General features: G+C 45.8%; 2 pseudogenes, besides 2 other annotated features; both read right to left on the bottom strand.

Annotated features, from left to right (window-relative positions):
* Positions 1774-2331, bottom strand: RPL24P6 (RPL24 pseudogene 6; annotated as a pseudogene).
* RN7SL73P (RNA, 7SL, cytoplasmic 73, pseudogene) lies at positions 2858-3109 on the bottom strand (annotated as a pseudogene).
* Positions 6538-6587: a silencer, noted in NCBI's record as "silent region_15040". NCBI's record gives its function as "represses an Ori minimal core promoter by ATAC-STARR-seq in GM12878 lymphoblastoid cells {active_cell/tissue: GM12878}" and the evidence as "EXISTENCE:reporter gene assay evidence [ECO:0000049][PMID:35858748]".
* Positions 10619-10858: an enhancer, noted in NCBI's record as "active region_21058". NCBI's record gives its function as "activates an Ori minimal core promoter by ATAC-STARR-seq in GM12878 lymphoblastoid cells {active_cell/tissue: GM12878}" and the evidence as "EXISTENCE:reporter gene assay evidence [ECO:0000049][PMID:35858748]".

Here is an 11941-nt window from a genome sequence, read left to right as displayed (position 1 = left end):
TTTTTTTTTTACCAAAAACACCTTAGGCTCCGTATTTCAAATTAGCTCGTAACAGATTCACAACATTTTATGAATGATGGTGTTGTTTAGTTCCCTTGGGGCTGTTACTATTCTGCTATTATTAATCAAGATCTCAAAAATCGCAAAATAATATATTGAATTCTGAAATATTAATTATAGAACCTATAAATTACAAATCCTGATTTGTACCAAACATTACAGGTGACTGCAAGCAAGTTGTCTCAAGCATTTACAGCTGGGATCCACCCAGAAACGATCATCGTTAAGAGTCTCCACGTGTCAGCTCAGCGTCTCATCCACAGCAGCGCCCCCAGCTGCCTGCTGATGGCTCCATCCCCAACTCAGTCTTCGTGGCTCCGCATCCATCGTAGTACAAACACTATGCCTTTGGAGAGGACTGCCTTAGAGTCCACAGCTAACGTCTATAGAAATCTAGCAATTCTATCAAGAAAAAGCAAAATTAAAATGCCAAAAATCAGGCAAAAAGAAAAGAAAAAAGCACAGGATACTCCCAATAGGTGCCAAAAGAGAAATGATTTAGGTACAGTGTGTTGGGGAGAACTGACCTGGAGCCTGCTGGAGTTGCTCAGAGTCTACAGGGAAAGATAAACAAGAAAACCAGCCATGTAGATGTGGAGATCAAATAAGACGAGAGGCTGTAATAGAGGGTAGAATGAGGGATTCTGGGAGAACAGAGGAGGGCCACCTGATGCTGCCCTGAAGAGGTGGAGAAGGCTTCATTCCAGAGCAAATCCTGAGCTGCGTTTGGAATAAACGAGCTGGAGGTAGTCAAAAATTGAAGGGGGAGGCCGGGCGCGGTGACTGATACCTGTAATCCCAGCACTTCGGGAGGCTGACGCGGGCAGATCACGAGGTCAGGAGTTTGCGACCAGCCTGGCCAACATGGTGAAACCCCGTCTCTACTAAAAATACAAAAATTAGCCGGGCATGGTGGTGTGCACCTATAATCCCAGCTACTCGGGAGGCTGAGGCAGAAGAATCGCTGGAACCCAGGAGGTGGAGGTTGCAGTGAGCTAAGATCGCGCCACTGCACTCCAGCCTGAGCGACAAAGCGAGACTCCATCTCAAAAAAAAAAAGAAAGAAAGAAAAGAAATAGAAGGGGGAGGAGGTGGTATCCCAGGCAGAGGAAAGACTGCCACCAAGTAGGAACTCAATTCTGTAGCACCTAGGGTCCGGGACCCTGCAGAGGAGAAGTAGAACAGGTGGCCAAAGGCCAGATCACTGACAGCTTTGTAAACCATGACATGGAGCTCAGATTACAATCTGAAGGTGAATTGATTCAAGGACTCAATTCTAGGAAACAATTTAACTTACATCTTAAAAATGAAATCCAAATACCAACTTGTTAATTCACGGTAGGAAAAAAGTCACTAAAGAACAAATCGAGGCTGGAGTTCTCTAAAAGCAAATGCTCTGTCTTCAGGTTGGCTACAGAGAATGCCAGGATCTGATGAGGAAGGGGCTGGTAAAGCCCAGGCAGCTGACTAAAGCAGAGTCATTCATGACGCTATGGGGATCCACCTACCTCCTGCCCTGGGAGGGGTACCGTCCGCAGCACTGAGTGATGGCTCTAGCAGCAGAGGGGAATGGAGAGGGGATGCACGGGCCTGACAGCAGGAGGACCTGTGAGATGGCCAGTGCTCCACTGTGTCATGACGAGGGCCTGAACTAGAAAGTGGAAGTAGAAAGGCGAAGGCAGATTTAGGAGATTTTTATTTTCTTCTTATTATTAGAGTTATAATCCAATCTTTATTTAAAAATCTAATCTGCCAGTTTAGTGTTTTCCACCAACTCGGGGAGCTGAAACTTCCACAGGCTTCACAATCTTTTGCTCAGGTGCTGCCTTTGTAGGTGCCGTAGCAGCAGCCCTTGCAGTCTTTTTAGATGCTTGCTTAGCCATTTTTTGCTTCCTTAGCAGCCCTGATAGCTTGTTCTCTTTGAGCCTTTCTAACTTCGGGTTTCTGATTCCTCTTGGCCATTATAGCAGCAAGAGATACACCGTAATGGTCTTCTGGAATTTGACTGCTCGGTGGGTTCTTTTCTTTTGAATTTACTCCGACTGCCCCTTTTTGTGCTTCCTTCTGTAGAGGACAGTCCAGTTTATCTGCGGAGGATTCCTCTTGGAAAGGAACGCCAACTTGCATTTTGAATTAAGAAACTGGAAAACCCTCCCGTCGGTCCTGGCGTGGCGCCTCCCGTGTCCGGGGTAGATCTTGTACCTGCTGAAACTGCACAGGTCAACCTTCATGGCAGCGGCTCCACGGGAAGAGAAATGATGGCAAAGAGAACTATTATTATTATTTTTTGAGATGGTGTTTAGTTTTGCTCTTGTCGCCCAGGCTGGAGTACTGAGGTGTGATCTCGGCTCACTGCAACCTCCACCGCCAGGTTCAAGAGATCCTCCCTACCTCAGCCTCTGGAGTAGCTGGGATTACAGGCACCCACCACCAGGCCAAGCTAACTTTTGATTTTGTTGTTGGTTTTGTTTGTTTGTTTGTTTGTTTGTTTTATGAGATGGAGTCTTGCTCTGTTGCCAGGCTGGAGTGCAGTGGCGCGATCTCGGCTCACTGCAACCTCCGCCTCCCAGGTTCAAGCGATTCTTCTGCCTCAGCCTCCAGAGTAGCTGAGACTACAGGTGTGCACCACCACACCCAGCTAATTTTTGCATTTTTTTTTTAGTAGGGATGGAGTTTCACCATGTTGGCCAGGATGGTCTCGATCTCTTGACCTCATGCTCCACCCGCCTCAGCCTCCCAAAGTGCTAGGATTACAGGCGTGAGCCACCACGCCCAGCCTAATTTTTGTATTTTTAGTAGAGATGGGGTTTCACCATGTAGGCCAGGCTGGTCTCGAACTCCTAACCTCAGGTGATCCACCCACCTCAGCCTCCCAAAGTGCTGGGAGTACAGGCATGGGCCACCACGCCCAGCCTAATTTTTGTATTTTTAGTAGAGATGGGGTTTCACCATGTTGGCCAGGCTGGTCTCGAACTCCTAACCTCAGGTGATCCACCCACCTCAGCCTCCCAAAGTGCTGGGATTACAGGCATGGGCCACCATGCCCAGCCTGATTTAGGAGATTTTTAGGAGGCAGAATCAAGTGATCTGAGGGATCAACTGCGTGTGGGAAGTGAGGGGGAAGTAGGGGTTTGAGATGACTGATTACTGTCAGCCAGAAAAGGGGAGTAAAGGAGTGCAGGCACGTTCGTGTGGGGAGACGATGAGATTCATGACTTGGCTCCTGCTAACTTGTAGGATTATCTTTTGCCACTACCGAGCATAGATCCTTTATGCCTGTCAGACTGAACACCTTGCAGTTTCCAAAGGTGTCACCCTCTCGGGCCCCAGTCTGTTTATATACATCATTCCAGACAACACAACACCATTCTCCCTGCCCTGCTGACTCCTGTTTACCAGCTCGCCGAGCCTGTCTGGCCAGCCTTCTCTGGTCCTTCCCCTGCTCTCCTGACTATCCCACTGTTATGGGTTGAACTGTGTCCCCCAAAAAGATATGTTGAGGTCCTAACTCCCAGTACCTGGGAATGTGACCTTATTTGGAAATAGGGTCTTTGCATATTGAATTAAGATGAGCTCATTAGGGTAGGCCCTAATACAATACGACTAATATCCTCATAAGAAAAGGAAGATACCACATGAAGACAGAAACACATGGGAGAACACAGGCCGACAGCAGAGACTGGAGTGATGCAGCAGAGAGCAGGGAGCACTGAGGATCGCTGACCAGGACTGGAAGCTAGGAGAAGGCAGGAAAAGATCCTACCTGGAGTCTCAGAGGGAGGATGGCCCTGCTGACACCTTGATTTCAGATGTCTAGCCTCCAGAACTGTGGGAGAATATACATTTCTGTTGTTTTAAGCCACAGGAAACCAGTACATCATCATTTCCACGTGTCCATGTTTCTATGTTTGTAAACACTGTGTCCACTTAGGCATTTACCACCTAGTCTGGTCATTCTTTGTTTTATATTTCCTTATTAAACTATGAGCTTACATCTGGGTGCGGTGGCTCACGCCTGTAATCCCAGCACTTTGGGAGGCCAAGACGGGCAGATCACCTGAGGTCAGGAGTTTGAGACCAGCCTGGCCAACATGGTGAAACCCCGTCTCTACTAAAAATACAAAAATGAGCTGGGCATGGTGGCATGCGCCTGTGATCCCAGCTACTCAGGAGGCTGAGACAGGAGAATCACTGGAACCTGGGAGGCAGAGTTTGTGGTGAGCCGAGATTACACCATTGCACTCCAGCGTGGGCGACAGAGCAAGACTCCATCTCAAAAAAAAAAAAAAAAAGGTTAGCTTACCTTTAAGGACAAGAATCATGTTTTATACATCTCTGGACATACAGCAAGTTGTCTGGCACAGTGAATGCTTAAGAAATATTTCTTAAATGAGAAAAAATATGGACCAAAGTTCTTGATGCCATTTAGAGATCAGCAAGAGCTTACTAGATGGCAGCCACTGGAAGGCACACACAGGGGGATGTCATTGACATGAGCCTCAAGAAATTTTTACCCTGGGCCATGGGTCAGAATGGAGGAAATGATGATAACAGCAGCAGCCGTCTTGGGAGTCAAGCAGAATCCTAACTCCTGCCCAGCGCTGGGCTCCATGGCACAGAACTGCCGGCCACTATTTGTGAGTTGCCTGGGACAGAAAACCCAGCCTTCTGTTAAGGTGAGGAGTGCAGGCAACATTCTGGGAAGGTATCTGGGGTCTCAGACAGGCTGATGTGACAGGCGGATGTGTACCAACACACAGCAGTTCTACTCTGTGCACGGCCACTCTTTTTTAAGTCTCCAGAATGTTCCCCATCTCGTGACCACCCCTGGGGCTCCCCAGTGAGCCCGAAAACTAAAGGGGTAACACCCGGTAGCAGAGGCTTCTCTGAATTACATGGAGCCATGCCTGCATGATAGCCATTTTCCTTCCTGCTTGGTTGGGGCCTGCCCACACCATTTTGGTTCTCAAATATCCTGAGTATCACCCTGCACATAAGCAGTTTGTGAGGAATGGAGGCTGGCATGCCCAGCAGGCAGGGCTGCCGAGGAGAAGCTACACGAGAGGCTGGAAGATGACAGTGGGGAAAGAGGCTGCACGTTCAGGGGCCCGAGGGTGACAGGGATGGGAGGCCTGGTGAGCAGACTGGCCTTGGGTGAGAAAGGACTTGTCCGCCATGCCATTATACTCCCTGAGAACTGGCTGGGCTTGCTTGGTTGGCTCCTAAAGCAGCTGTCCCAGGAGGGAAGGGCTTGGCCTAGTCCCAGAGCTGAAAAGATTGAAAGAAGAGTTCAGTACTTGTGAGGGGGAGGAAAAGACACTGTGCTTGGTTCTGCTTAGAGCTATTACAGCATTGACTTAATCGTATTTTATTTCTAATCCTTCAAGAAGCATACTGTCACATTTAATAAGCCTGCAGACTTGATTCACCAGAAGATTTTGTTCCTGCCCACTCTGTATAAATTTTCTTAATTTTTTTTTTTTTTCCAGACTGAGTCTCACTCTATTGCCAAGGCTGGAGGGCAGTGGCATGATCTCAGCTCACTGCAACCTCTGCCTCCTGGGTTCAAGCAATTCTCCAGCCTCAGCCTCCCAAGTAGCTGGGACTACAGGGGCGCGCCACTACGCCTGGCTAATTTTTCTATTTTTAGTAGAGACAGGGTTTCACCATGTTGCCAGGCTGGTCTCAAACTCCTGACTTCAGGTGATCCACCCACCTTGGCCTCCCAAAGTGTTGGGATTACAGGTGTGAGCAACCACATCCAGCAATTTTCTTAATTTCTCTGTCTCTCTATGGAGGGAGAGGAAACATGAAACAAAAGCAGTTAATGCTTTTATGCGTTCTCTTTGACCCTGCAGTCTTAGTTAATTTTTTCCAACTTGGCGGCATCTAGCAAGATCAAAGTGAGTTTCAGCTGTGGTCAGCCACAGAGCTCCACAGTCTTGCACTGCAGCCGTTCCTAGCACAGAGCCAAATGGGCTCTGTCTGGACTCTCTTCTGAAATGTAGCAAACGCAATTGCCTTTGACAAGCACAGCTGAGCAGCATATTTAAGAATGCCAGAATATTAGGGGTGGGAAAGACCTTCATAAAATTAAGATAAAATTTGTGTTGACTAGGGTCCAGTCTTGGACAGGGTTAAGCTTCCAAGTAGGTAAACCATGAATGACAGGCAGTTAGAAAGAATATTCTAGTTGGTACCTACAAGGTAACAGTATAGGTGCCACCCTAAAAAAAATGAAAATTTTAAAATCTAGAGATAAAGCTAGTTTTACTTTGGTTTTTATTTTTAATTCAATTCTGTTCAGGATGCTGATTAGAAAACCTCCATATATGAGAAACAGTGAGAGGCAAACTCTTTTGTGCCGTAGAATGTTCTCGACATCAAAAAAGAGCACTGGAAGCCTTCAACATTTCCTGTTTATGTTGCACAGATCAGAGGTTCACACAGAAACCACCTGCCCACGTGGCCCCTGCTGCTGGTTTCCCAAGCCCCAGCTTTCCTCTGCAGTCCCCTCTTGCACTGCTTTCTTCTGATGAAGTCTGGCGAAGTCCTTGGGGGAGAAACCAACGAGACAGCAGTTTATCCTGTGAGAGCCTTGTGGTTCCTACTAAGGGATTCCCCCCACCTGCCTCAGCCACGGGAGCGCAAAGAGGGTCTTGAGTCCTGTCTAGAGAACCACTTGATAAAAACACCTGATAACACAGGTACACTTGATGAACACAGGAAGCTATGCCTTTGTGAAAACAGCAACAGCGTTCTCCTGGAGCCCAGAGCCAGAGCTGGGAGAGACACATGAAATGAGGGGTGGACTTGTGTGTGTATGTGCGTATCTAATAACAAACTTTGTTTTGTTTTGTTTTGTCTTGTTTGAGACAGAGTTTCACTCTTGTCACCCAGGCTGGAGTGCAATGGCGTGATCTCAGCTTGCTGCAACCTCCACCTCCCAGGTTCAAGGGATTCTCCTGCCTCAGCTTCCCGAGTAGCTGGGATTACAGATGCCTGCCACCATGCCTGGCTAATTTTTGTATCTTTAGTAGAGACAGGGTTTCACCATGTTGGCCAGACTGGTCTCGAACCCTTGACCTCAGGTGATCCACCTGCCTTGGCCTCCCAAAGTGCTAGGATTACAGGCATGAGCCACTGCACCCGGCCTAACAATGAACTTTTTAAAGAAAGGGTTCTGAACCTAAAATGAAAAGAGGAGGCCAGGCGTGGTGGCTCACACCTGTAATCCCAGCACTTTGGGAAGCCGAGGCGGGTGGATCACCTGAGGTGAGGAGTTCGAGACCAGCCTGGCCAACATGGTGAAACTCCATCTCTACTAAAAATACAAAAAATAGCTGGGCATGGTGGCATGTACCTATAATCCCAGCTATTTGGGAGGCTGAGGCAAGAGAATCTCTTGAACCCAGAAGGCAGAGTTTGTGGTGAGCCGAGATCACGTCACTGTACTCCAGCCTGGGTGACAGAGCGAGACTCCACCTCAAAAAAAAATTAAATTAAATTAAATTAAAATGAAAAGAGGAAATACAGTACCTGCTGTAGTTTATTTCTGCAATAAACTAAGCAATAGACAATACCTAGAAAAGGACCTGGCACATAACAGACCTCAATTAAGATTTCTGACTGGTGACAGGACAATTTCCTCTTTGTAATGCATTCTCTATTGACTCAGCAGTCTTTCTTATTTCTATTATTTCCTTTCCAGCATTATAGCTGCTAATGCCTTCCTTAGCCATGCAGAACAAGATATATAGTCAGATTGCTTTCCAAGAAATTGATGTTGTTATGGACACCATTATTGGGGAGGTCGAATTTAGGAACAGTTAACTCATTTATTCCCTGATTCAACTGTGAAAGGAAAATAAATCTTGGGACCCTAAACTCACTAAGCCAAAGGGGAAAAGTCCAGCTGGGAACTGGGTCTTGCAAACCTGCCTCCCATTTTGTTCCTAAATAGATAGCTACAAGATAATAAAGCTACAGACCTCCCTCACAATTTGCCCACAGGGTAATTCCTGTGGGCTCCCAGATCTTTACTCTAAAACAGTTCTGTTGAATCTCACCCTGGCAATGTATACTGATAGCTTATCTTTGCAGGTATGGGGCAAAGGACAGAAATCAAAGACATCCCTCTGCTTACCTGAGACAAAGGCATATCTGATTGCTTCCTCTGCCCTATGTTTATGTTATGTAAAAAATGCAGATTCATTGAATGTGTAAGTGACTGTACCTCTACCACCCTCTCACATGTAAATGGCTGATCAAAGACTCAAAAGAATGCAACTGCTTGCCTCTTATCCACCCACACCCTTTGTAAAAAAAAACTTTCTTTCTCTTTCTCCAATATTCATTCTTTTCCCTTTAAATATTGAGGTCCCCAGACCCTCTTTGGAAAAAGCATGGAGCACAGTTCTTCCTGTGGATCTGTGTTCTTTCCTGAGTGCATCCTTAACCTTGGCAAATAAACCCAAATCATCGAGACTCGCCTTGGTCATTTTCTTTGATTTACATAACCAACATGTATCGAGGGCCTCTTACGGCAGACACTGTATTCATTAAGTTATGCTGTCAGGGGAGAAAGAGGAGGAAGACATGCACCTGCTCCCAAAGAGGCCACAGCAGAGGGACGGACACTTAGACAATGATGATACAATGAGATAGAGGAATGCAAACAGCTCCTTAGGATCTCAGTGAAGGTGAACACTAACTCGGCCTGCGTGGAGTCGGAGAAGGAGATGACCTTTGAACTGGGGTAATTTAAAAGCAAGAATAGGGGATGGTATTTCACATAGATTAGTAAAGGCATGAAAAAGGGACAGAATATAGGTTGCTCTGACACCCTGAGAAGGGCAGTGTGACTAGTGTGAAGAACATAGCAGAAAGCAAGTGGATGTAAAAAGAGAAGGAGACTAGAAGAACAGACAGGGCTGGATTGTGAAGGCCCAAGGGATTTGGACTTCATCCTAGACAATGAGCAACCACGGCAGACTGAGTTCCTTGAGCAAAAAAAAAAAAAGAGGGGCAAGTTCTTTTTTTTTTTTTTTTTTTTTGAGATGGAGTCTTGCTCTGTCACCAGGCTGGAGTGCAGCGGCGCAATCTCACTGCAACCACTGCCTCCCGGGTTCAAGCGATTCTCCTGCCTCAGCCTCCCAAATAGCTGGGACTACAGGCGCGCGCCACCATGCCCAGCTAATTTTTGTATTTTTAGTAGAGACGGGGTTTCACCATGTTGGCCAGGATGGTCTCCATCTCTTGACCTCGTGATCTGCCCACCTTGGCCTCCCAAAGTGCTGGGATCACAGGCGGGAGCCACCGCGCCTGGCCAAGAAGGGCAAGTTCTAATTGTTTCCCCAAGCGTAACACTGTGTGTGGCAAAGTGGAGTTGAATTTATAAACTAAGGATCATTGCATATCCCAATTTAAAAAAAAATATGAGAACAGTATGAAGATGAATGGGCAGTGAAGAAAGCGGAGTCCTCAGACCAATCTGGAGACAACAAATAAAATAATAAAATTACGCATTTGAGACGTTTCAAACAAGAATGAGTGCTAACGAGCATAAATACAATAGTAAAGTAAAAAAGTCTTCCAATGGTGACTTTTGACTATGTAGGCTTCAAAATATATTTAGGGTTTTCCATGAAGCATTTATAGCAACATCACATATGTTCTGAATCAAAGCCTATACTCCTTATCCCATTATGAGTTCATAGAATAACAAAATGCAAGATAATTTGGCAAAATTGACACAATGAAATTATAATACACAACATTGCTCCCTTGCTTCTTGCAATAATAAACCAAACCAATTAACACTTACAGAAAATTTACAGTCACAAAAGACTGAGTGATTTCTGGCAGGCACAAGGTAAATTCATAGCTTAGCCAAAAAACTAACTCATATTTCCTACTTACCATTCCAAGGTTTGTTACACTGCGTGTCCTGCCTTCTTCTTTCGTTTTTGCCTCACAGGTTCTGAAAGAAGTAATTGCCTAGAGTCTCTGAATTTAACCAGTTTTTAAAAGGATCAGGAAACATCTAGGGACTAATGAAATCTCTGTGTACCCTAGGGGGGCCTATGCTCTGTGACTCTTCTCAGAAAAGTATTTTGGCCACTTGGTAAGGTTAAGGAATCCTTTCAGTAGATGTCTTTGAAGAGAAGAGAAACAGTGGAGCATTCCATGGTTGCAAATCAAAGCCATTTTTTTTAAGCAGAAAAATGATTAATCTTTGTCCTTGGCTTTTTCTCTCTCTGAAACTTTCTGTTTTGTTTAAATGATCTTGCCCCTGCTACCATGAATTTCTACAATGTATTTAATATGACAAAATCTGTGATCTTCTCTTTCCGGGGAGGGATTACCTGAAAAGGAAAAGAACAATGTGCTATTCTTGGCAAGAAAAGAGTTGCTGCTGACTCAGTGGTCATGAAGTCACAACTTTTGGGAATTTTTCCAGATGTTAGGCGGGGGCACTACCCACTTCTCTACTCTGTGGACCTAGCTGATGACTCAGGCAGGCTGGGTGAGCCAACCATGGAAGCCACTGTTGCTTTGGAACTCTGTCCTTGGTGGGAAACCCAATGGTGGTGTCCATAGTCGTCTGTTCCAGTGAATGGAGAGCCAAATGACTCAGCCACGTGATGGGGTACAATAAAAGTGTCCCCTCTCCTCCTCCAAATATGTTGTGTTGGGTCAGGCAACCATGATAATGAAGTCTTCAAAAAGAGAGCAGAGATAAATGCCAGATTATCCTTAAATCATGTATATATCTTTAAATATATGATTTGCCTTGAGCTCAATAGCTACTTCCAGAAACTGAAACCAGAATGAAAGATTCTATCTACAATTCACCTCCTGGCAGCCAAACCCTCAACACACAGGAAATGTAACAGCAATACAGCTAAATTCAGTGCTCGGGCTGTTTGGTCCAGATAACTTCCTACAGGAGCAAACCTCAGCAGAGGCACAGAAGGAGAGCTCTGTTTAGAGGCATTTGAAAATCTTATTTGGGCCACACTGAGGAATAAAGTAGTTCAACTATTCTGAAAGATAAGGAAAAGCAGGCCATGTGTGGTGGCTCATGCCTATAATCCCAGCACTTTGGGAGGCTGAGGCGGGCAGATCACCTGAGGTCAGAAGTTTGAGACAAGCCTGGCCAACATGATGAAACCCCATCTCTACTAAAAATACAAAAATTAGCTGGGTGTGGTGGCAGGCACCTGTAGTCCCAGCTACTCGGGAGGCTGAGGCAGGAGAATCACTTGAACCCAGGAGGCAGAGGTTGCAGTGAGTGGAGATTGTGCCATTGCATTCCAGCCTGGGCGACAGAGCAAGACTTTGTCTCAAAAAAAAAAAAAAAAAAAGCAGTACTGGCCCTCACAATTTTACAAACTATTTTTTTTTAAGTGCTACCAAAGTCATCTTCATCTGCATTCATTTGTTGTGGGTTTGGGAGTGGAAGAACCAGTACAGGAGACAAAAGTTTAACTCTTGATGAGGGAAATATGTTTCCAAGGTTCTTCAGAGAACTCTTCATCACCTCCTGTTCCAATGTTTGTTAGTTAATTAACTAATAAAACACTTTATGTCATACGATCGTAGTCCCTTTCATTAGAGGGTCTGAAAGCAAGCTGTTGCTTAATCAAGGGCCCAGTCACAGTTGAGTTCAGGGATGCTGAACTCAGTGATGCTTCCCAGCCCAAGCAGGAACAAAGCAAATCTGCCCAATAATTTGGAACATACAGGGAAGTTTGTGTATTCCCTTGAAAACAGGATTGCCATCACTGACCTAGACTCCTGCTGACAGGGCAGGAGACGCAACACAGGTGTTGAACACTGGGGTGGAAAGAACTCAGGAAGGGAAGGGAGGTGGCCA

Source organism: Homo sapiens, chromosome 3 (genome assembly GCF_000001405.40).
Source record: "Homo sapiens chromosome 3, GRCh38.p14 Primary Assembly".
NCBI classification, from domain to species: domain Eukaryota; kingdom Metazoa; phylum Chordata; class Mammalia; order Primates; family Hominidae; genus Homo; species Homo sapiens.
Note: the sequence above shows the minus strand (reverse complement) of the source record. Positions and strands in the feature narration are given on the sequence as shown.